This window comes from Homo sapiens, chromosome 3 (genome assembly GCF_000001405.40).
Source record: "Homo sapiens chromosome 3, GRCh38.p14 Primary Assembly".
Lineage (NCBI taxonomy): Eukaryota > Metazoa > Chordata > Mammalia > Primates > Hominidae > Homo > Homo sapiens.
In genome coordinates, this window is record NC_000003.12 from 167,390,997 (window position 1) to 167,416,715 (window position 25,719).

Below are 25,719 nucleotides of genomic sequence, written 5' to 3' on the forward strand. Positions count from 1 at the left end.
CCTGGCCAGAACTTCCAATACTATGTTGAATACTAGTGGTGAGAGAGGGCATCCTTGTCTTGTGCCGGTTTTCAAAGGGAATGCTTCCAGCTTGTGCCCATTCAGTATGATATTGGCTATGGGTTTGTCAACAATAGCTTTTATTATTTTGAGATATGTTCCATGCATACCTAGTTTATTGAGAGTCATTCTCATGAAAGGATGTTGAATTTTGTCGAAGGCCTTTTCTGCGTCTATTGACGTAATCATGTCGTTTTTGTTATTGGTTTTGTTTATGTGATGGATCACATTTATTGATTTATATATGTTGACCCAGTCTTGCATCCCAGGGATGAAGCTGACTTGATCATCGTGGATAAACTTTTTGATGTGCTGCTGGATTTGGTTTGCCAGTATTTTATTGAGGATTTTTGCATCAATGTTCATCAGGGATAATGGCCTGAAATTTTCTTTTTTTGTTGTGTTTCTGCCAGGTTTTGGTATCAGGATGATGCTAGTCTCATAAAATGAGCTAGGGATTAGCCCCTCTTTTTCTATTGTTTGGAATAATTTCAGAAGGAATGGTACCAGCTCCTCTTTGTACCTCTGGTAGAATTTAGCTGGAAATCCGTTTGGCCTTGGGCTTTTTTTGGTTGGTAGGCTGAGAATTGCCTTTTTGGAACATGATTGACTTTTAATTATTACCATTGGTCTGTACTGTAAATAAAGTCATCTTTCTTTTCATCAAATTTATTCAGATATATATACTTTACATACAATAAATCACAAATATGTTAAATTTTACATTTCAATGACTTTGACAAATATATGCTGTATGTCTGTGTAACTACTACTAGAATGAAGATATATTAGAATTTTATATGTAGATAAATCAAGTAAATATATATATAAATCAAGACTTATCTATATCTACAATCCTATAAAGTTTCTGCCTATCCCATCCACTTGAAATCAATACTCTCACCTACATGAAGCTCCAAGATAAATATAGATATATTTATCTATACATAAAATTCCCAAAAAGTTTCTGCCTACCCTATGCACTTGCAATCAATACCCTCACCCACCTGAAGCTCCAAGAAACCACTGATCTGCTTTTAGCCACTAAGGAATAATTTTTCTGGTTTTAGAATTCATTATAAATGGAATCACACAATTTGTACTCTCCCATGTAAGTCTTCTTTAACTCAGCATAACATTTTTGTGATTTACCCATGTTAATATGTGTGTCACCAGTTTGTTCCCTGTCATTACTGAGGACTATTCTACTGGATAAATATAACATAATTTATTTATATAATTACTCTTTAATGAACATTTAATTGTATCCAGTTTGTGTCTATTATTAATAAATATGCTGTAAACATTTATGTGCAAGTCTTTGTGTGGAAGCATTGTCATTTCCTTTGGATGAATTGTTAATTTCTCTTGAGTAAACATCTAGTACCAGAATTGCTGAGTAGTATGGTAAGTTTATATTTAACTTTATAAGAAACTGTCAAACTGTTTTCCAAAGCATTTCCACCAGCTATGTATAAAGTTCTAGTTGCTGCTCCACTTTTTTAATAAGCATGATCTGAAAGTTGCATGATGGCTTCAGCGTATATCCCACTGAAAAGAGATTAGTCATTGAACCCCATCTGCCTCCTACAAAAGGAGCTAGAGATATGGTCTGTAGATGAGATGCCAGGTGCTCATCTAAAACTCATGGTTTCTATTACACAGAAAGAAAGACAAAAAGAAAGTGTTGGTGATTGACTTCATCTGAAGCAGAGGAATTAAAACGGGCTTCCAGATTTTAGGTGGATGTTAATGCTATTAACTGATTTGACATGTTGAATTTGAGATGTTAGACATCGAAGTGAATGGGTAAGTAAACTGTTTAGTGTACCAATCTGAAGTTCAAGGCAGAGATTAAAGCTGGAAATATAAACTTGGGAATAATCATCATACTAAAGGAACTTAAAGCCATGGGATGGAATGAGGAATAAATGTAGGATATTGTTTCCATCCAATGATGCAATGATTTCATGAACTATTTTCAGAGACCAAGATGTAAGTATAACTAGAAGAATGTTAGCTAGCCTAAAACAAAACAAAACCCCCTTTTGCCCCTCTTTCCCTGGACAATGGAGTACACCACTTAAGGATTACATTTTTCAGCCTCCCTTGCAGCAAAGTCTAGCTATATGAATAAATTCTTACCAGTGAAATTTGAGTGACATAGTCCCCCTGCCAGTCTGGATGCTCATCTTCAGAGAAACCCTAAGTAAAAGGAAAAATTAACTTCTATGTTATTTAAGCCACTATATTTAGATTTTGTTTGTTTAGCAGCTTAAGCTCCTTTTAGCATCTTAACCAATTCATGAGGCATATCAAATAATTTCTTATGCTCAAGTAACAAATTTCCATTGCTACTTATTTTATTCATTTTTATTGATTTTATCATGATCTTGCTTATTTTTTACCAAAATTGCTTATTTGGGTTTATTTATCAAAGAGTGGGTTAAGTTGCTAGTATTTATAAACTGCTCCAAGAAATAAAGTAATAATGTTATCTTGCAGAATGTTAATAAATATTTTCTTCACGTACTTGTGATTCTTTCCAGTCATTGCCTCAATTAGTTCTTGATGCTAGAGTGAAAATAAAAGTTAATGTAGTTGTTTGCGTTTCACTGAAGAAGAAACTAGAGATATTAAATTATTTGTCCATAATAGCAAACCAAGTTAATGGAAAAGGTGGAAGTAAAATGCAATTATCTCACTTCTATTTTATTGAACTATTAGATTACAAGTCACAACTAATTAAAAACATGATACAAGAGCTAAAGCCGCGTAACCTTTTTATGGTGAAGACAGCCTAAAAATTGCCCTTCCACATGTTTCACATTTTATATCCATAAAATGTTTCTTGTAAAATTATGCTTATTGAACTTTTTCACTAAGTTTAAATAGATGTAAAATAGATACAGATAGATAAATGAAAATGTAGAAAGTATTTTAAAAGTAGAATATATATTTTATCCAGATTTTCCATACATACCAAAATCTGTTTATATCTGGATGTATTCTCTTCCAATTCTTTCTCTATTTATATAACTAATACTTTACTTTTTACATAACTATAATTAATTAAGTATAAATTCAGATGGCATTTAGTATATACAGTGCTTCTCAACACAAGTGAAATTCAGCAGAAATCCATTGGGTGGAGTTGTACCATAACTGAACGTTTCAAAGGGTTTTTCAGTGTTCTCTTTTTAATTTTTTCCTCAATCTTTACAAAGCTAATGGCTAAGCAATATTTGCTATTCGAAGACTTTAAAACTGTTTTATCCCCACTGGAAATAGTTGGAGATTGTTGGCTTAGGTGTTATTTTCTTTCTGATTGTATCAAGTAGAAGCCACATGCATATGGACACAATTTAGGATTTAATAATCTTGACAAAGAATACAGTTGCTTATTTTCCCCCAAAATAAGCAGATTAGAGAGGTTAAGTAGAAAATAACAATTGACTTGATAAAAAATGCTATTCTGTCCTTTCATCTCTCAAACTCATTTTTTTTTTCTGCCATTGGGAAGAGAGGTAAGAATCTAATATTCCAAATCCTCTGAGACAAAAGGTTACACGGCCCAAAGAAGCAAGCCTTCATTAATGTTGATTCATTCTAATAGATGCTACAGAAAGCTGCCAAAAACTTGACATATTGAGAAATTAGTTCCTCAATAAAAGGTTTATTCCTGCATGCAGAATCAGGTTAATCTCTCTCTAGCAGTATTTCTGACTTAAGTGCTCATAAATATCAAGGGTCCAATCATGGAAATTCTGATTTAGTCGATCCGAGGTGGACCTCAAGAATCTGTTCATTTCAGGAACACCTGCAATGGTCCAATCATCATATATGGAAGCACCACCCTGATGGAAGGACAAATTAGATGAGTAAGTTAGCTCTGTCTTGTGAGCCATGAGTTAGCTCTGTCTTGAGAGCCATGGAAGGAAATAGAGGCATATTAAAACCAACCTCTGGTTCAAGCATCCCAATTAACTCTAATACACTTATCCTCTGAGAGGAGACCTAACATTTTCTCTTTTACTTTCTAAAGCTTGTTCCCTAATCCTCTCAGAAATGCTCCAGTTATTTATGCAACTAGAAGAATGAAGGCCAAGATTGAAATGGAAAAAAATAATATGGGGATTTATAGATCAAACTAGATGGGTGTTTCCTTTGGCTTTTTAAGAATGAGTAAAGTTATTTTTTAGAAGGAAATAATGTTCTTGAATATCACATGCTTTAATTTTAAGTTTTATAAATAACAGTTATAGGTTCTGGTACTAACTGGTTTTACTTGCAATACTGGTCTTTTTATACAGAAATGAGGATGTGAATGCTCTTTTACTGGGTGTACAATAACAGGCAGGAGTGCCAGAGTTAGAAAAGCAGCCTAGTACCATGGAAAAATTATAGAGTAAATAATTCTGAGATCTGAAGTGGAATCCTGGCTCCTCATGCAGCAACAATGGACAGATTCTTAGCATTCATTTATAAAATATCAGCAATAGTGATTTCTAACCTTGTCAGGTTGTGATGAGGTTCACAAGAGTGCACATAATAAAAATACTTTGCAAACTGTGAAGTTTGGAAAATCACAATAACCTTGTTTCTAGTGATGCATTCTCACTTCCAAGTCACTATCAAAAGTACCACCAAAAACTGTGCATACGGATTGAAGGCTGAGGGTTCCCTTCAATTTTAGCTTATTTTGCCTTTTTGTCTATGCATATCATAAATTGCAAATTTGGAAGAGCTATTGCAAGAATAGGGAATTAAGAGAGAAAGCCATGTAGCCTACTTTGGTTTGAGGAATTGGCTTACCTGGCATATAAGGAAACTTCTGCATGACATATATGGAACCTTCTCCCTCTAGCTTCCTGGAGTCTACTTTAAGGCTTGGGTACAAACCTCAGTGAAAGTATTTCTGTGTTTTATTTTGCCTCCATTGTACCTTACTCAAAAATCACTTGAGGAAGAAGACAGTTGTCATGGCATGATTGCGGAATTCATTGTTTTCCTGGCAAAATTTCTCCTTACTAGTGCTCAATCTAATCCATGCAAAAATACAGTTCCTGAATAGATCTAAGTTATGCTGACTGTATGTTTGTTTGCCCTCATAACCATCTTTAGTCTTTATCTGCCCTACAGTCTTGCAGTGGAGCTGACTGTTGCAGGATACATTTCCCTGGCTCTGTGTCAGCTACTCCTACCTGGGTTCTGTTGTTGAATGTATAAATGAATGACAATGGAAATCTCTTTGCATAGTTGTAAGCCTGAGTGATTGAGAGAATCAGGATTTCTATGCTGTGCAACTCCTAGGGGCGACATTGACCTTGAAGCACACTTCAGTGGCACATAGGATGGCACAGAATGTAGCTCCTGTAGCCATGTGTAGCAACAAGACATGAGGCAGAAGTCTGCCGGCATTAGATTGAGCACTAGCAGGGAGAAATTAGCAGTAAAAATGGTATTTTCTTTACCCAGATTGGGCTTATTTTTAAGTAGCACCACTTCATTTTGTATTGCTTTGTTTTGTTGAAACTAAGCACAAATGCTTTGGCATGTGAAAAACGTTTATGGTTTATGAATGAGAGTATGTAACTGATTAAGTAAAAATAAACTTCTAAAATAGACTTGATGATAATGACACCCTAATGTCTTTAAAGTTTTGTTAATGAACATTTGAATTGAACAAAGTTACTTTAGAAATTTTTCTTGCCCTTTTCTTCCTGAGAGCAAAAATATGAGGAAGACAGAGATAGGGAAAAATTACTTCAGGAATATTTTATTTAAGTCCTGTGAAAAGCAGAGACCATTTGTGTCTCCTTTAAAAAATGCTGCTATGTTTTTCCTTTTCACAGGTCTTATGTTAAATAAAATATTGCCACAATGTCATATCTGGTTATTGTTATTGGAAAAGACCAGGGAGTAATGCCCAATGCTCTTGTCTGACATGGAAAGGATGGCATTGCTCATTTTTTTCCCTTTTTTAAATTGAAACCTTGAGTATTTAATTTATAAACATAAAGCATTCAACTACTCACCTTAAGAATTGCTAAGATATTAGTCGTGAAGAAGAGGTTCTTGGTGGTAAAAAAAAAAAAAAAAAAAAAAAATCTGACTCCTTTCTACAAAATGCTTTCTCCTACATCTCATTTGTCTTCGCTGACTGCATTTTCTTTGCATTTTTCTGGGTTTTTCTTACAGCCATCAATTGACTTGCTACGTTTTGTTTGAATGAAGAACCCCACCCTGAGTTTGTCAATGTTCACAAGTCACCTCACATACACTGTATGGATGGCCCATGAAATTCTTTTAAAAATAAATAAAATTTTATTTCTATCCCATTCCAACATATGCACATGCACAAAAACACACTTTTTTCTTTTTCATGTCATGAAAAAAATTATCAGAATGGATTATTCCCTTACTTTATCTTCTTCGAAAGATTGCCTGGTCTCATATATTAATATTTCATTCCCAAATGTAACATGTCAAAGTAGAGAGTTGTGTTGACCAGCAAGAAGTCAGAGGGTAAGAAATTTTTCTGCTTCCAGGAAAACTATTGTTAGCACAGTAGTCAATAAATAAGAGAGAAAGGCAGGAGAGAGCCTTTTATGCTGAGAGAAATGCAGATGATGACAAAACTTATAAGGCTAAGAAAAAACAAATCATCTTTAGAAGAACTTTCACTTGAAATGGCTTTGCCTTTCAAAAGGAAAAATGTCCTGCTGAATCAGCTTCATTTGGAGAAATAAAAAAAAAAACTCATATGATTTTCAAAATACTAAACAAACTCACTTGCAAAAAAAAAAAAATTAGGTTACATTTGTTTGCTTGTAAAAATAAGTTTAAGCTCAGCAAATTGCAAATTAAGGAGACAACAATCAAGCAGAGAGGATAGGGGTAAAGAAACAAAGCATGTTTGGGCTGGCAGCATCCTAACATCTAAAAGAAAAATGCACACAGTTGGTAGTGTGCCCATTTTGTTCTGGCACTTTGTTTCATGAATGTGCTACAAGATGAGAAAAAAAAATGAACGAGCTTCAATTCTTGTTCAGTCATAGAGCTGTTCAGTCAAGCAAGATTACAGATAATGAATCTCTACAATGGAAAACTGATTTGTGGGCTCTCAAATTTTTCATTTTGTTTATGTTTCAGAAATGTGTAGCTGTGTCAGAACGTCTTACCCATTTTTAAGAATATTTTATCACAGCAAAAAAAGATAACTTGACTTTAACTGTGAAATGCAAATTCATTTTATCTTGAAGTGTCAGATATAGTATTGTTCAGTCTACAACAAATATAAAAAGGCATAAGATTCTTTAAAGGGCCCAATAACATTGTCAATAATATGCTTTTATTATGGAAAATAAAATATCTTCACTGCTTCAGAAAATTATTCAGTCTGGATTTTTATGAACTTTAGAATTATAGGCCTTAAATTATGATATGTATGTCCTATTAGCTAGAAAATATTTTCTATACCTAGTGAATTTTATTATGTAATATATATAAACCTACTGTATAAATATTTAATGAACATTTATTATCACTAACTGGTTGGATTTATTACCTAAAGAATTATGATAGCACGTGAAAAAAATTCTTAGATATCTGATATTTGCAACCTCTTAGCAGAATTTTAGGACATGTGTTATACCAGAAGTAAATTGTTCTTAAGTAGTCAGGGCATTATCACAAGATGTTATGATTTGAATATTTGTCCCCTCCAAAACTCATGTTAAATATTAATCCCCTATGTGACAGTATTGAGGGATGGGGCCAGATTTTTAAGAAGTGATTGGGTTATTAAGGTTCTGCCCTCATGAATGGGTTAATCTATTCATGGATTAATAGATTAATGAAATACTGGATTAATGGGTTATCATGAGAGTGGAACTGGTGGCTTTATAAGAAGAGTAAGAAAGAACTGAGCTAACAATTAGCGTGCTCAGCCCCCTCACCATGTGATGCCCTATGCTACCTTGAGACTCTTCGGAGTCCCCACCACCAAGAAGGCTCTCACCGGATGCAGACACTGGACCTTAAACTTCTCAGCCTCTATTTAGTAAGAAAAAAAAAATTCTCACTTACTCACTCATGCACTCACTCATTCATTCACTAAACATTTTGTAAATACTTTGTAGCAATAAATTTCTAATACCACACAATAACAACTCCCATTTATAGAGTACCAATTGTATGTCAGGGATTGTACCTTTGCAGTTTCAGAAAATTTAATAAACTTGCTAAAGTTTTCAGAACTACTAAGTACAAGCCCAGTCCATTTAAATCCCAGTATATCTACAACTGAAACTAATGGTCTTTCAACCACTCTAAGCTGCTTCCCTTCTACTATTGTCTACTCTTGTCAGTAGCTTGCACTCTGGTGCTAGAGGTAGGGAACATAATTAAAATTAACATATACTGTTATGTGGTAGGTACTCTGAAAGAGCATCAAGAAAATCTGACTGAAAAAAGATTGACTGAGATGGGCGCTGGAGTATAAGCCAGAGTTTCACAGGTAAAGGAAGGATGGGAATTTTATGCCATAGGGGGAGACCTTAGCATGTGCAAGGTCATGGAGGTAAGAGAAAATATGGTATACTCAACAAGATTATTATGTATTCATAGTGACACAGAATTTACACCATTTTTTTAACTTTTATTTTAGCCTCATGGATACACATGCTTGTTTGTTACAAGGGTATATTGCATGATGCTGAGGCTTGAGGTATGATTAAACCTATCACCCAGGTAGTGAACATATTACCCAATAGGTAGTTTTTCTAGCCCTATTCCCCCTCCCTCCCTTTCTCCTCTAGTAGTCCTCAGCATCTACTGTTCCTGTGTGTCCATGTGTACTCAGTGTTGAGTTCTCACCTATAACTGTGAATATTCAGTATTTGGTTTTCTGTTTCTGCATTAATTCATTTAGGATAACTCTCTCCAGCTACAACCATGTTGCTGCAGAGGAAATGATTTCATTCTTTATGGCCGCATAGTATTCCGTAGTGTATATGTACTACATTTTCTTTATTCAATCCACCATTGATGGAACCCTAAGTTGATTCCGTGTCTTTTTTATTGTGAATAATGCTGCAGTGAACATACACGTGCATGTGTCTTTTTGGTAAAATGATTTGTTTTCCTTTGGGTATATACCCAGTAGTGGGATTTCTGGGTTAAATAGTAGTTATCTTTGTAGTTTTTTTAGAAATCTCCAAACTGCTTTCTAGAGTGGCTAAACTAATTTACATTTCCACCAACAGTATATAAGCATTCCCTTTTCTCCGCAGCCTCACCAACATCTGTAATTTTTTGACTTTTTAATAATAGGCATTCTTACTTATGTGAGATGATATCTTATTGTGGTTTTGATTTACATTTCGCTGATGACTGGTGATGATAAGCATTTTTTCATATGCTGGTTGGCCACTTGTATGTCTTGAATTGTCTGTTCATGTCCTTTGCTCACTTTTTAATGGAGTTATTTGATTTTTCTTGTTGATTTCTTGCTGTTTAAATTCCTTATAGTACCGTGAACTCCAAATATATAAGACAGGTATCAGTTAATTTAGAAAGTTTATTTTGCCAAGGTTGAGGGCCCGTACCCGTGACACAGCCTCAGGAGGTCCTGACGACACATGCACCAGAGCACAGCTTGGTTTTATACATTTCAGAGAGACATGAGACATCAGTCAACATATGTAAGATGAACATTGATTGGTCCAGAAAAGCGGGCCAACTCCAAGCAGGGAAGGGGCTTCCAGGTATAGGTAGGTAAGAGACAAATGGTTGCATTTTTTTGAGTTTCTGATTAGCCTCTCCAAAGAAGGCAATAACATATGCATTTATAAGTGAGCAGAGGGGTGACTTCGAATAGAATGGGAGGGAGGTTTGCCCTAAGCAGTTCCCAGCTTGACTTTTCCCTTTAGCTTAGTGATTTTGGGATCCCCAAGATTTATTTTCATTTCACAACACAATCTACCACTATTTATTGACACTAAATGGATGAATAAAATGTGGTCCTTGGACTCAAATATTGTATTGTCTTTTAGAAAATAAATCCAATAAACAACTAGTTATTTTAAACTAATATAGATAATAATCTAAGATTGTATATCAGGGCCACAACAGAAGAATTAGTTTCAAATGAGAATTTTAATAAAAAACTTCTAAGAAGTAACATTTGAAATGAGTATCAAAAAACGTTTAAAAGTTCACTAGGCACTTTCTGCTTCCAATTAGGACACAAAAGACCTTAGCTCTTATTGTTGCAGGAAAGGGGTGCAGACCCAGACCTCAAGAAAGGGCTCTTGGATCTCGTGTAAGAAGGAATTCAGGGCGAGTCCATAGAGTAAAGTGAAAGCAAGTTCATTAGGTAAGTAAAGGAACAAAAAATGGCTACCCTATAGACAGCAGCCCGGAAGGCTGCTGGTTGCTTATTTTTATGGCCATTTCTTGATTATATGCTAAACAAGGGGTGAATTATTTATGCCTCCCCTTTTTAGACCATATAGGGTAACTTCCTGATGTTGCCATGTCATCTGTAAACTGTCATGGCACTGGTGGGAGTGTAGCAGTGAGGACAACCAGAGGTCACTCATCACCATCTTGGTTTTGGTTGGTTTTAGTTGGCTTCTTTGAAGTAAACTGTTTTATCAGCAAGGTCTTTATGACCTGTATCTTCTGCCAACCTCCTATACTTAGAATGCCTTAACTGTCTGGGAATGCAGCCCCATGGGTCGCAGCCTCATTTTACCCAGCTCCTGTTCTAGACGGAGTTGCTCTGGTTCACACACCTCTGACATTATGAGAATGTCAAAAGATAAAATAAAAATCATATTTCCATATGGGACTGTCAATGAACCATGAAAGGCTTGATGAACTGATTTCCAGAGAAAGGTGCCCATTATAAGTAAGCAGTGAGATCTGGCAGGTCTGGATGCAGGACGAGCAGAAGAATGGTCAAGACCCAGGACTTTACTGGGTGGAAATGAAGCCATCTGAGCTATTGGCAACAGTGGAGATCGTGGGCTACATTACGGTCTGAAAGACTACCAAGCACAGTAATAGTTTGCTCAACGCAGTCATTCTCTCCACCTTATCCCAAGTTTGCTGAAAACAATGAAATTGAAGTAAGAACTGATAAGCAGACAGAAATCATTCAATCTGCTGCATCTCCCATATTCTCCCCATACCTGAAATTTAAAAATTCAAAGATATTGCAAGGAATCCCAAATAAAATCCTGATAAGCTCCATGAGACTAGCCCTTCCTTGGAAAACTGAATGTTGGCGATTGGGTTAACAAGAGGGAAGCTTCATCTCAGTCCCAGATAAATAAACCCTTGGTGAAATCTGAACAATCAACTCCCACTTTAGCCAACAGATGAAAAAATAACTTGAAATTTCTTGGCAAAAAGAAAATAAAAACCCAGTGTTAATCCTCTAACCCTATTTTTCTTCTATACTTAATTTCTACTATGCAATAACAAATTACGAGACCTACGTAGAGGCAGAAATAGGACTCACGCGCAAGGGAAAAAAATCACCAAAAGCAAACCACAGATGATCCAGATACTGGAATTAGCAGAAAATAATTTAAAAGATCTATCTTCAATAGGAAAATATGAGAATAGGTGGATAGGTGGGTAATCTCAGCAGAGAATAAAATAAAATAAGTAAGAAAAATTAGTTAAAAATTATATATCTGTAAACTACAATATGTAAAAAAAAAAAATAGATGAACTATACAGAAAAATCACAAAATAATCAAATGGTTAGTGACCTTGAAGACAGGTCAGGAGAACTTATCCAAAGTAAAGCATAGAAAAAAAGGCATAAACAAACTGTTAAATACATAACAAACTGTTAAAGACATAACAAACTGTTAAATCAAGCAGTCAAATATACCTGTAATTGGAAGAACAGAAGGATAGGAGAGGGAATAAGTCAGAGTACAAAAGATCTTGGAGAAACAATGACTGAAAAGTTTCCTTATATGTTTGAAAATACATACATCTACAAATCCAGGAAGGTCGCTGAATCTCCAATGGAGTAAATTTATGCAAAATGCACATAAGCATATAATTGTCAAACTGAAATCCAAAGGGAAAGAAAAAATTCTAACGGGTACCACAGTAAAGAATGCATCATGTAAGAGGGAGTAACAATCTCATTAACCCAACGCATTGACATTTTAAAGTGCTAAAAGAAAACAACTAAAAAACGATTATCAACTTAGAATCCTACATCCAGCAAAAATCGCCTTCAAAACTAAAGGTAAAATACATACTTTTTCAGATAAATGAATAAATAATAAATCAAAGCTGAGAGAATTTGTTGCCATCATATCTGCACTATAAGAAATGTCAAAACTTCTTCAATCTGAAGAGAAATGATACCAGTAGGAAATTCAGATCTGCAAAAATAATTGAAGAATGCCAAAAATGGTAAATAACAAGGTGAATATGCAAGCATTTTTTCTCCTAATTTGTTTGAAAGACACTTCACTATTTAAAATGAAACATTTATATTGTGAGGTTAATAATATATGAAAAAGTAAAATGCTTAAGAGCATTAAAAAACATGAAATGGGAATAAATAGAATTATAATTTGATGAGTGTCCTCTATGATATGTGAGGTGGAGTATATTAATTCAGTATAGAATATGGTAGGTTAAATGTGCATACTTTAGTCCCTAAAGCAAAGCAACTACTTAAAAATAAAATGAAGAAGTATAATAAAAATCTAACAGGTTATATAAAATAGAATGCTAACTTAATACTACTTTAAACTAATACTAGATTAAAAGGAGGCAGGAAAGTAAGATCAAGGAAACAAAAGAAGAACAAAAAATTAAAAATATAAATAAGATGTTAAACTTCAAGTAAATCATATCAATAATTGCATTAAATGTAAAATGACTACACATTCTGAAGAAAAAGCAATATTGTCAGAGGCGAAAAAAGTCAGCATACTAACAGTATACTGTACACCCTCTACAGAAATTGCATTTTAAACGCAACATGGATAGGTTGAAAGCAAACTCCTAATCATAAGAGACCTGGTTCGGCTATATGAATAGCCAACAAAGTAAACTTCAAAACAAGTAGTACCAAAGATAAAGAGATATTTCATAATGATAAATGGAATTCGTTAAAAAAATACATAATATTTCTAAGTGTGCATGCTACTTATAATAGAGCTTAAAAGTAAGCAAAGCAAAACTTTACAGAAACAAAAAAATAAGCGAATCTACAGAAGACATTAACATTTCTGCAAGTAGAAATAGACAAATTCATAGTTATAGTAGGAAATTGTATTACGAATAACCAGGGGTTTGCTCTAGGTCCCATTGCTCGCCACACAGAAAACCAATCACTGAGACAATGAGTATTGTCAGAGAAGAAGATTTTATTTGGGTGATGTCAGCTGGAGAGGTGGGAGGCAAACCCTAAATCCACTCTTCACTCTCCCACTCTCCCCCTTTCTCCACGCCCATTCAAGGGTTTATATAGCTGGGAAGGACAACAGAAGGGACAAGGAAAAGAAGTTGGTCAACAGACAGCAGGTGCATTTCATTATACAAATGTAAGTTTCTCAAGCTTCAGTTCTATAGACACCTGGCTTGTTGGAAAATTGGACTGACTTCAATTTCAGCATTCCTCTGTCAATAATTAATAGAACAATCATTTAACATGGAAATAATATGACCAGATTTGCTTTTTTTCCCCTCTGGTGGCATTGTCAAAAAGATATTGAAGAATGGAGAGACAGAGAAAAGGTTTACAAATTAGCAGCCATAACAATAATCTAGTGAAACAAGATGATGGCCTTAATTAATGCAGAAACTGGTCGGGGGGAGTAGAATGAAGCTAATAAACTGGAGATATATTTGGTGTTTGAAAATAATAGAAACTGGTCACTTAGATGTCTGATACAAGGGAGAGGTGGCAATAGGAAGACATCTAAAATTTTTAAGGGTTCTTGCTAGGAGACTGCATGGATGCTTTTTATTAAAAACATTGTGAAGAAGAAGAAGCACATCTGAGAGGAAAGGCAATGAGCTCTCTTTTGGACACTTTTGAAATGTCTGTGAGACATTGTTAAAAATGTCTACAGGGCAATTCAATATGTGAGTATGACATCAGGAAAGAGGTCAGGTTAGAGATAATTGCAGTGGTTGTAGTCACTGAAATGGTAGGAATACTCCAGTGAGGATAGAAAGAAGACCAAATGCAGAACCCTTGACCTCTGACATAAACAGTGCAGACAGCAGAAGAAGAAACTGCAATGAAGAAAAGAAGAAAAGGATGAGATAACGAGACAGGAACCAGAAAAAGTGTGTCATAAAAACCAAAGAGAGATAGGAATTTAAGAAGATAATGTCGAAGCGAGATAAGTGGTACAGAAAAGGTGAAGACTTAAGCAGTCATTACATTTGGTGAACAAAAAGTTACTCCTGACTCCAGTAATTTTCATGAAGAAGTGTGATAGGAACATGGCTGCATTAAATTGAAAACAATAAAAATATGAAGGTGAAGAAAAACTTAGTATAGGTTATTCTTTCAGGGAGCTTGATATTTAAGCTAAATAGGAACTCTTAACCTGAAATTAGTAATTGAAGAAGGTATTCCTGGTAAGCTGGTACCACCAATAATTTAAAAGCCTATTGCTTGAGTTGTAAGAAAGAAGCAATAGGTACTCTCTTCAGCTTAAGAAACCAACAGGCCGAGCGTGGTGGCTGACGCCTGTAATCCCAGCACTTTGTGAGGCTGAGGGGTGGATCACTTGAGGTCAGGAGTTCAAGGCCAGCCTGGCCAACATGGTGAAACCCCGTCTCTACTAAAAATACAAAACCCTGGGGTGGTGGCAGGTGCCTGTAATCCCAGCTACTTGGGAGGCTAAGGCAGGAGAATCACTTGAACCCGGGGGGCAGAGGTTGCAGTGAGCCGATAGTGCCATTGCTCTCCAGCCTGGGTTGCAAGGGCAAGACTCAGTCTAAAAAAAAAATTAATAAATTCTTCCCAAATAGATTATTGTAGTTTCTTTCATTATTGTAGTTTGGCTGATTTTCAACCTAAGCTACATCTTCAGAGACAATAGTCTTCAATAACATTTTTTATAAGCAGTACTGTCTGTGTGAATGGTATAGGTAAAACGTAAATCTATAAAGAAGAATGTGATAAACATTTAAAGGCAATTTGGACAAAAGCCTACTTATATTTTTCACCACAAACAGTGGTAAGGTTTGGCACAGCGTTCTTAGTAATTTATATAATTGGAGACACTCCCCAGGGAACTTATGAGATTAAACGGTGTATGGAAAAAATGTAAATGGTAGAGAAATCTAAATCACAGTCTTGTAAGATATTTCCAGCTGGGTACAGTGGCTCATCCCTGTGATCCCAACACTTTGGGAGGCCAAGGCAGGTGGATCACCTGAGCCTGAGTTCAAGACCAGCCTTGGCAACATGGCAAAACCCCATCTCTACCCAAATTACAAAAGAATTAGCCAGTCACAAAATCCAGTATCAAATAAATAAATAGATAAAAGTTAAAAATAAAATAAATTTTAAAAACATTTTCTCCTTAGAATAATTCCCTGTTTGAACACCATGGACGTAGCTAGGAAAGTAGTTTACAATTCAAATTTGATCGCAAATGAGTAAGCCCTTTCAGTTCTCTACCATGATCTCCAGAAATGTAGGTGAAGGGATTGGAAAGGATCAGGGAAGTTGCAAACAAAGAGCCAAATCCTAATTCTATTCTTGAAAATGGGGGAAGAAATGGAAATAGGGCAAATTGGGAAAATCTTTTAATTTGTATGTAGGATTTGGCATTTGAAAAAATAATCTAACTTGAAAGATCAGTTTTATCCAAGTAGTTCCTGAATAGCCTGACTGCCTCCTGACATAAGAACCAGGAGAACAGTCTGTTGTTTGGGAAGACTGACTCACCACTGTGAAAGCCACTCTCAGCCCTTGTTTTTCAAGTGGTCACAGAGTTAATGCTTGCCCAGTCTGCTGGGTGGCGCCAGATCATCATATAACTAAAGAATCCAGGCTGCATCCAGCATTTCAAAAACCTCAAATGAATAAGTATAAATATGTGCTTATCACCCTCACTATGCATTTTAAATTTATCTAACAAAATCCAAATAAGGATGTGAAAAATTAAACAGCATAAAATATCTCAAGTGTAAATACATTAACTTTAAATGATTTTTTGATATTAATGCTAAAATATTTTATAGGTAGAAATGTCCAATGCTAATGTCCATACCTCTATGCCTTTTCCAGTTGGAGAAACAAAAATAGGTACAATACTGTTTGCAAAAACTGAATATGTAAGTACAGTTGGCCCTTGAACAATGTGGGGATTAGGGCTGCCAATCCCTCGCACAGTCAAAAATTTTCGTATAATTTTTGACTCCCCCAAAACTTAAGTACTAATAGCCTACTGTTGAATGGAAGCATTACCAATAACAAAATGTCAATTAACACGTTTTTTATTAATACAAAATACAGTATACACTGTATTCTTACCCACAAAAAAGTTAGGGAAAAGGAAATGTTATTAAGAAAATCATGAGGAAGAAAAAATATGTTTATTATTCATCAAGTAAAGTAGGTAATTATAAGGGTCTTCATTTTTGTCTTTACCTTGAGTAGGCTGAGGAGGAAGAGGAAGAGGAGGGGTTGGTCTTGCTGATTCAGGGGTGGCAGAGGTGAAAGCAAATCTCACGCAGTCGACTCTGTGTTGCTCGAGGGTCAATTGTATTCTAATTACTGATGCGCTCACAGACAGCTCTGAGATGATTTTGACTTTGTTATATCACCAGCTCAGTATAATATCTCCACCGTGTTCCAAGATGATTCCTCATTGTGCCTTCGAGTTTATCTTTAGCTACCAAATTCTTCTCCAAGTTTATTTTAGATGACTACTGTTTCCATTCTGCACCCAACTCACAATCAGGCCCAATTATCCTGCAGAGTGCCTACCGACTCTCACCCTTTTAAGAATATTCCGTTGTGTGTCTCATAACCTTGAAATTTTACTAGAACAATAGCTAATTTATTAAATGGACTATGCAGAAAATGCTGAAGTTTTGAGTGATTCTATAGTGGACACTGCTAGTTGGTTTTCTATCAAAATCCATACTGCTATTGTTTCAGAATACTAGAGTTCAAACAAGGTATGGGGCCGCCCAGCTGGAGACTCCATTTTCCAGACTCCTTTGCAGCTGTCTCTGGAATGTGACCTAGTTATCACCAAGGGAATATGAATGGAAATGATAAGCGCAATTTCTGCTTCATCGGTTTAAAAGCAAATTGCTTGCCCTCAACATCTGTTCTTTTCCCCTGCTGTAAGCCAGAACATGCACATGCTTGCAATTCAACTTTTGATCATGCAGATGAAAACATTTGCTAAGAAATTAAAGATCTTTTAAAACGACCATATTTGCGATCTACTTTTTTCTTAAATGGCAGCTTAACCTTTACCTAACTAATACAGATTTTAATAGACCAGTGAGTTTCACCTCCCACGTTTGCATTTTTAACACAGGCAGCATGGAGGCCTAGTTACTTAATGACAAGGAGCTCCTCCACTATGAGAATTCTCCACACCATAGCAAGCCAGTCATGTCTGCCACTTTCATCGCTCTAATGACTTGGAAGGCCAACACTGTGTCTTTCTGGCAGTAGCATTTAGCACAGGTTTTAGTACAATGGTAGATGCAGAATAGATGTTTAAAAATATCAGGAATAGAAAAGGTTTGCAAGCTCTGAAATCAGGTCACAGAAGTAGCCACCTAACCTGCTTACACAGAGGGTGAGCCCCGGAAACATTAAGCTTTATGAGCACTAATGTTGCTGTGTAGCAAGATATAATATCAAGCTTGAAAGCAGACCACGTGGATAATGCTTAAACTTGGCTTCGACATTTTGGCCTGCCGGAAAATATGGCAGTTCATTAAAAGATCAGTAGTGAGTAATACTGACTTTGCTAACTTTATTGACATCTGAACTGTGCCTTAATATTGAGTGTGATAATATTGCAGAATGGTGAGATATCTCAAGGTTTAATTAAAAAAAAAAAGACTATGGAATTAATTTACCAGATGAGGGATAATAAGAAATTTGAATCTGTAGTATTTATGTTGCTGCTTGAATGCTGGGCAATAGCAAACCTAGCTCTCCCTGTGGCATCATCTCAGATTGTGTTTGTGTAAGTTAGGATGCATCTGGGTTGACACTGACTTCACTGAAGCATTATTTTGTAAAGGGCACTGCTTGAGAGCAGTTCTTGGCCTGCTCTATGCATAAGAATCTTAACTGTAGTTGTATGTTTGTCTGCCAAGTGTAGCTACCCATGTAGAAGAAGGAACTCAACCTATAGCTTTTTTAACCAAATAAATACCCAAGAAATACAAATAACACCTCAGTGACAATATTTAATGCCTCTTCACTAAGAAATCATAGTCAAGTGTAGACAGAGGAAATGTCTATCAGGAACCAGGGAGGTCTCAGACAAGAAATCCTAGGATAGTTGGGTTTTATCTCCTGTTCTCTAAGTCTTAAAGTGAACCTTTTCTCCTCCATGCTTGTTTGGCAGTCATCTCTTTAGATTTGCCTCCCCTTGCTTTTGAAGGTTGAATATAAAGGGATAAAATGTAGGTCTGGGCTTGAGAGAGACATAAACAAGCTGCTCTGCTTGATTTCGTTCCAGTTTAGGCTGTCCTATCACAGGCTGGAAAATGTTTCTATCTCTTTCTATCCAGCTCACCCTATGACACAAATACTTTAGAGTCAGGGCAAAAGTTGTATATTAATAAAGCATTTGAACTTTCCTGGAAACTCTTAAGAATCTGGGTGTGCTGGCCATTTGTGGATTACTGGGCAAGAGTACAAATGGAGGCCCACATATCATATATCTAAGTATTTGAAAGTTATAAATCAAGCCAAAAATTTAAAAGAAATATGTCTATTCTTCTACTTCAATAAATAAATCTTTATAATACTTGGAAGGCCAAGTTTGAATTTAGAATTCTTGTATTTATTGGGTTTCTGAAAAAAAAAAAGTATCATAATAAGAACCAATTCTTAATCCTCAGTAAGGAGTAACTTACCTCCCTTGTCTTCCATCCCTACCTCCATCCCACACAGGAAAAGGCCTGGTTGCATGCCCACCCCAAACTGCAAGTCCAAGTTCTATCTCTGCCACTGTAAACATTAGTCCTTTGGCTATTTCTTTAATCTTGGGATGGGTCCTTTCATAGGACAGTATTTCCTAAAGAGGATGCCCTCTAGGAAATGCCCTACATAAACCTCGGAAGTTGGTTTGGTGCTGTTTGGGAAGCAAATTTTAGTGTTCCAGGTATCCAAAGAATGGTTAAAGAGAGAGAGTCCCAAATTCTGAATAGACACAATTCCCTTGACTTTGCAGACTTTTAACTCTTCAGAGAGAAGACATGGCTGGAGGAGGACCTGCAGAGGTTTATAATATGGAACACAGACTCACTTGCTTTGGTCTGAGGGAGACACTGAATCCAGAGCAGCAGTAGGCAGCCAAGAGAAGATTTAAGAGATGTGAGTTCTTGTCCTATTTTCTATTACCACCACCTGATGTCAACATTTGAAATGGTATTCTTTTGGGAACACCACTTGTTAGCTGTGTTATACAATGGTATGGAGGTTTTTCCCATCAGATCAAGTCCCTAGATCTGTGAAAGACCAGAAAGATATGATTTCTGTGCACAGCTATGATAAGCATTGAGAATGGGGATTTTCAATGAATTTTTTATAAAAAGAACTATCACTGCAGCATATGTCATATTGCCCTAGTTACTAAGTTAGTCTGATTAAGATCAACTTTCCAGTTTCAAAAGTGGAGCTATAGAAATGATTATTCCCCTTTAAATAAGTGAGTATTCACATAGAGACACGTATGCACAGATGTTGGCAAGACACAGGCAAGTTTTAATGCCACTTCCAATTTCTCCCATTAACTATAAGGACAAAAGACATGGTGCATGACCAAAAAAGAACAATTACATTTTCTCAGCATTTTCTAATCAGGATTGAAGGGGAGCAGACTGCATTTCCAAGAAAATAGGCCCATCTTTTGGCTGTTCCAGGAAAGTCCTGTTGTTGCATGTGAGAACTGGTGGTGTATGTCTCATGAACTCAGGCTGTCGGGGAGGGATAGCATTTAGGCCTTCCATTGTATGGATGCAGTTGGATATGGTTGTAACATACCGGTAGTGAACAGGTCTTCAAGGAACACTCCAGACACAGTACTTCAAAATTAATCTCAATGCTAAGCCAACTGTGAGATTCCATTACAGAACTATGCATATCCACAGTTATTTTCTCAGGTCATATCAGCTCCCATTTATATATAGGTTAATTTAGGTGAGTCTATTGCCCAAAGAAATACAGTTCATTACAATGTAGCAATTGCTTCAGAGCCCAAGCTTCATAAAGAGAATTGTCCCAGGGTACTTCTATCAAGACAGTTACCTAGAGTTATATGTAAAGAGAGTGTTTACACCAATCACTAAAGCTGTGGTGATTACGTACTAAAATTAGATTGGCTGAGACATTGAGTAGGGTAACTAAATTATCTAGAGATAAGTAGAAATTTGTTGGGTATACTTACATATCTTTTATTGCTACTGAGATGCAATGTTTGTCTAGCTCACAAGTCACTTCTTTGAGAGCTAACACAGTCCTTCATGAGCTTCAGTGCCCAAACACTTCTAGGCAATAACTACCTTGATCAAGGTTGGACATATACCCTAAACTGGGCCAGTCCGACTATTCTAACCATTTGGAGTCAGAATTTAATGATGCTAGCCAACTTCTGCTGGTGGCTTGCCTTGTAAACATGAGGACTTACATGGGTCATATTCAGCCATACGCATGGAGTAGCAAAATAGGCAATCTACAGAAGCAAATGAATTTATCAGGATCCCAGAGAGAAACCAAGATGTTTTTTAAAATATAGTTTTCCAAAAAGAAGGACAATAACTTAATAACCTTCTGAGGACTTGATGTTGGTCACCTCCAGGTTCTGATCCCTCCTGAAGCTTGGTTGTACTTTCTCCCTTGGTAATCAAACACCCCTGTATCCTCAAATAAATTTTTCTTTCTTGTTTAGATGTGAGTGAGTTTCTGTAACCAAAAAGCCTTCACTAAACATTACTTGAACTTCTTATTTACTCTAAAGATTTTTGTAAACACTGGGAAAATGAAATATGTCTTGCTCTTCTCTTAATTTATGTTCTCTAAAAACAATTTCTATGATTGTATATTCCCTAAAGAAATTTTTTTTTCAAATTTGCATTGATTCTCTTTGGACCTTCCTATGGCTATATTCTGCTTTCACCCATCTGTCTGTAGTCATATGAAGAATTTTATAGTTATTCTGCCTTCTTTTATGGTGTGAGGAAAAAAAAGGGTTTTGATGCTGTAGTATCTGATATAGTTATCCGCATTGCACAGATATCTTCTGTGATGTGCCTGTTTCAGTGTCATACACTCCCAGTTTCGCAGAAGCATGCTTCCACTTTTCCCCCCAGTTACTCATTAAGATTATTCTTTTAATGCTTAACTATTTAATGTCAATGTGGCAGATATATATGTATATGTATGTGTGTGTGTGTGTGTGTGTGTACATATATATATATATAAAATCAGGGTTTCACCAACTTTTTGGTATCAGGATACCTTTCCACACTTAAAAATTACTGGGCATGCCAATGAGTTAAATATTTGTCATATTAGATAATAAAACTGAGCAATTAATATTTATATTAATCCATTTCAAAATAACTAATAAATTCAATGTATGTTAACATAAGTAATATATTTTTAAACTGTGTTTTTCAAATAAAAAATCATGAAGAGTAGCATTTCTTAATATTTTTCATATCTCTTTAATGTCATGTGTAGTAGAAAATAGCTATGGAGTCCTATCTGTCTCTGCATTCAGTCTGCTGTAATTTTACACATCTTGTAGCCCATGGAAACTGCACTGCACACTCATGAAAGACTGAAGGTGAAATAGGCAAAAAATTTTTAATAATATTATGTAAATAGTTTGACCTCAGAGAGTCTCAGGCACCCCCTACAAATCTTCAAGCTATACTTCAACAAGTGCTGTACATTATACAATCACAACTTTAACCTAACAATTGAAAAGTAAAAAAGTATTTTTACCAAAAGAAAATATTTTTTGTTGGGACATTTAACTGAACTGACCAAATTTAGATATTTTGGGCATCCTATGCCAAAAAAAAATTTGAAGAGGAAATCACATTCCTATTTTTAAGATTGCTAGTGTATAAAACACTGTGGTGAAATTTAAATTGAATCTGAAAGTACCTATGAACCATGCAGTAGACTGGTTTAATTTTTCATCATACTGTATATCACTATATGTCTACCATATATCTACTTATAGTGTAGACATACTTAATAAATTAACAACTGACTTTACTTAAATGCCTTATGTTACTAACATTACATTTTCCTTTGAATGCCCACATATACAATTGGACTATTCTAGCATTTTTCAATTTTAATATTTTTTATCCTAACTTACTGGTCTAATAAAATCTAGTCAAAATCAAATTACAGAATCCTGCATATCTATAAAAGAAAAAGAAGGTATGCCATAATTTGGTATGTTTGAGATAGCTCAAATACTCCAACTTACAAATTATCTTTCTTCAATAATCTCTAGATGGTTTGATCAAGTAAAAATTTCTTTTTATAATCTCTTGAAAATGCACCAGAGTAGCACTCATTTAATCATATTCTATCTGTTCTTAGATTATTAGTTCCATGTCAAATTCAGTATTTCCCATGATATTTAAAGTTATCTCCTTGTTCTTTTCTCTACGATGGTCATTCACAAAGTTCTAAGGTAATGTTAAAGGTAGGAAAAGCAACTCAAGAAAGAGTTTGCCTGAATTGCACAGGGTGCTGGGAGAGAATATGTAGCTACTTTTTCCTGGTTGGAGTCTAGATTTTTGCTGTTTTCCATCAAGGAATGATGCTAATGTGAAGACATAATGAAAAAAAAATGTGTATGTAAAACTAAGTAAGTGACTATTTTTACTGACTTTAATAATCAGTGGGAAAAGAAATTGATCAGTAGTTCCCAGAAGTTGTCTCAGGACTTTACCCTTTTACATACAAATCATTTCCTTTCATTTCATGTTATCATTTTTTGTATATAGGTGACTTTTTTATCTTTGGCTTTGAAAAGATCAAGTTGATCCGGAAGTAATTTCTCTAGCTACTAAAGTAAAACTCAACTTTCTTTAAAGGCAATCAATAAAATTCAGAATCGCAGCATAATAATAATAGTAATAATGTCCAGCATCCAGACAAAATTCCTACATCTACAAAGAAGTAAAACATGTGATCCACAAATAAAAGAGAAATCAGTAAATAGAAAGACACACCTCAAAATGAAATTGATAGTAGATTTAGCTGACAAGAACTTAAAATAGATATTGTAACTATATTAAAAAATTTAAAGGATAACCTTAAAAATTTTGAAGAAAAGGGAAATATATTTTTAAAATAAAACTTATAGAACTCAAAAATACAATATCTAAAGTGAAAATTTTACTGGATGAAATTAAACAGAAATTAGAACCGACTAACTTAAGATAAATGAACTTAAAGGCACTACGAAAGAAACTATACAAACTCATGTACAGAGAAAAACACAAACTACAGTGTTCTGTGGAGGAATGCAATATAATTTATCACACAAGTAATTGAAGACCAGAGAGATGAAGAGAGAAGAAAAATATTTGGAAAAATAAAAATCAAAATACCCCCAATTTTATTTTAACTATTTACTATTTATAAATCCAATAAAGACAACAAACCCCAAGCAAAGTAAACACAACGAAAATAACACTGCAGCACATTATAATCAAATTGATGAAAAGCAGGTAGAAACTGAGCCACATTACCCAAAGGGGAATGAGGAATACCACCACGCAGAACATAGTGCAACAATGTCTTTAAAGTGCTAAATTATCAACCAAGAATTCCATATCCACAAAATAAAATTTCAAAAATTTAGGCAAAAAAAAGATATTTTAAGACACAGAAGCTGAAAGAGTCTGTCATCAGTAAACCTTCACTATAAGAAAAAATTTTTTTAAGTTTAGGTGGAAGAAATGTTATACCAAAATGTAAATACACATCTAAATAAAGAAAAGAGCCTTGGAAGTGGTAAATACATGGGTAAATATAAAATATTTTCTTATTATTTAATTCTTGACAAAGTTATTTGACAGCTTAAGGCAAACATTTAACTGTATATTATAGGATTTATATGATACGTGGAAGTAAATTGTGTTAGCACTATCCACAAATAATGGTGAAAGTGAATGGAAGTATCTGTTGTTGTTACATTATACATCAAGAAAGAATATTGGTAAGTGACAGATGAATGTTGTAAAGTAGAGTAACCACAGAAAAAATAAATTAAAGAGGTATAGCTAATTAATCTAGACAATAATGTCTGCACAGGCAGGCATGCACCTAACCAATATGCCATACCTGGTATTCTTTGCTTTTGCTATGTACTGGTCTGGATTCTTCTGGTCGCAGGTAACAGAAAAAAAAAAAGGAAACTTAAATAGAAAGAGAAATGACTGTCTCTTAACTAAAAAAAAGATACAGGGTCCTTCACACAGCCAATATTTTTTCTCCAACAATCTCATATCTGTAGTTGGCTCTATTCTACAGAGGTGCCTTTAGCAGATAGAAATGGCCATTATGGAATCTCAGTCTCACATCCTCTCTATTTAGAAATCTCAGAAGAATGATATTATTTCTTCTTCAAGATCCGTATAGCAATCCAAAGGAAGGAATTTGGTCCTGCCTGGAATTATTATTTCCCCTGAACCAATCTCTGTGTTTAGGAAACTATGACCGGCTGGGCCTTTTTTTAACTTCTGTTTTAGGTTTAGGGGTACATGTAAAGGTTTATTACATAGGTAAACACACGTCATGGGAGTTTGTTGTACATACTATTTCATCACTCAGGTAGTAAGCCCAGAGCCCAATAGTTATCTTTTCTGCTCCTCTGCCTCCTCCATCCTCCCACCCTCCCTCCTCAAGTAGACTTATTTTTAAAAGTCAAAAAATAACAGATAGATGCTGGCAAGGGTGTGAAGAAAAGGGAACCAGTGTCTGTTGTTTCCTTCTTTGTGTCCACAAGTTCTTATCACTTAGCTCCTACTTATAAGTGACAACATGCGGCATTTGGTTTTCTGTTCCTGCATTAGTTTGCTAAGGAAAATAGCCTCCAGCTCCATCCATGTTCCCACGAAAGACATGATCTCATTCTTTTTTATGGCTGCATAGTATTCTGTGGTATATATGTACCACATTTTCTTTATCCAATCTGTCATTTTTGGGCATTTAGATTGATTCCATGTCTTTGCTATTGTGAATACTGCTGCAATGAACATTCACGTGAATGTGTCTTTACGGTAGAATGATTTATATTCCTCTGAGTATATAACCAGTAATGGGATTGATGGGTTGAATGGTAGTTCTGTTTTTAGCTCTTTAAGGAATTGCCATATTGCTTTCCACAATGTTTGAACTAA

At 35.2% G+C, this 25,719-nt stretch overlaps 1 protein-coding gene and 1 long non-coding RNA gene across 2 annotated transcripts in view; one reads left to right on the forward strand and one right to left on the reverse strand.

Moving 5' to 3' along the window:
* ZBBX (zinc finger B-box domain containing) overlaps window positions 1–16,890 on the reverse strand; it is a 229,485-nt gene extending 212,595 nt beyond the window's left edge. The window contains exon 1 of the mRNA NM_001377489.1: window positions 16,730–16,890. The gene's annotated coding sequence lies outside the window, so the exon portion shown is untranslated. The remainder of the gene's footprint in view (window positions 1–16,729) is intronic.
* On the forward strand, window positions 1,800–17,523 carry LINC01327 (long intergenic non-protein coding RNA 1327). Its single transcript, NR_126353.1, has 4 exons — window positions 1,800–1,869; window positions 8,499–8,581; window positions 10,341–10,441; window positions 17,243–17,523. It is a non-coding gene; the product is annotated as a long intergenic non-protein coding RNA 1327 (long non-coding RNA).
* The last annotated feature ends 8,196 nt before the right edge of the window (window positions 17,524–25,719 follow it).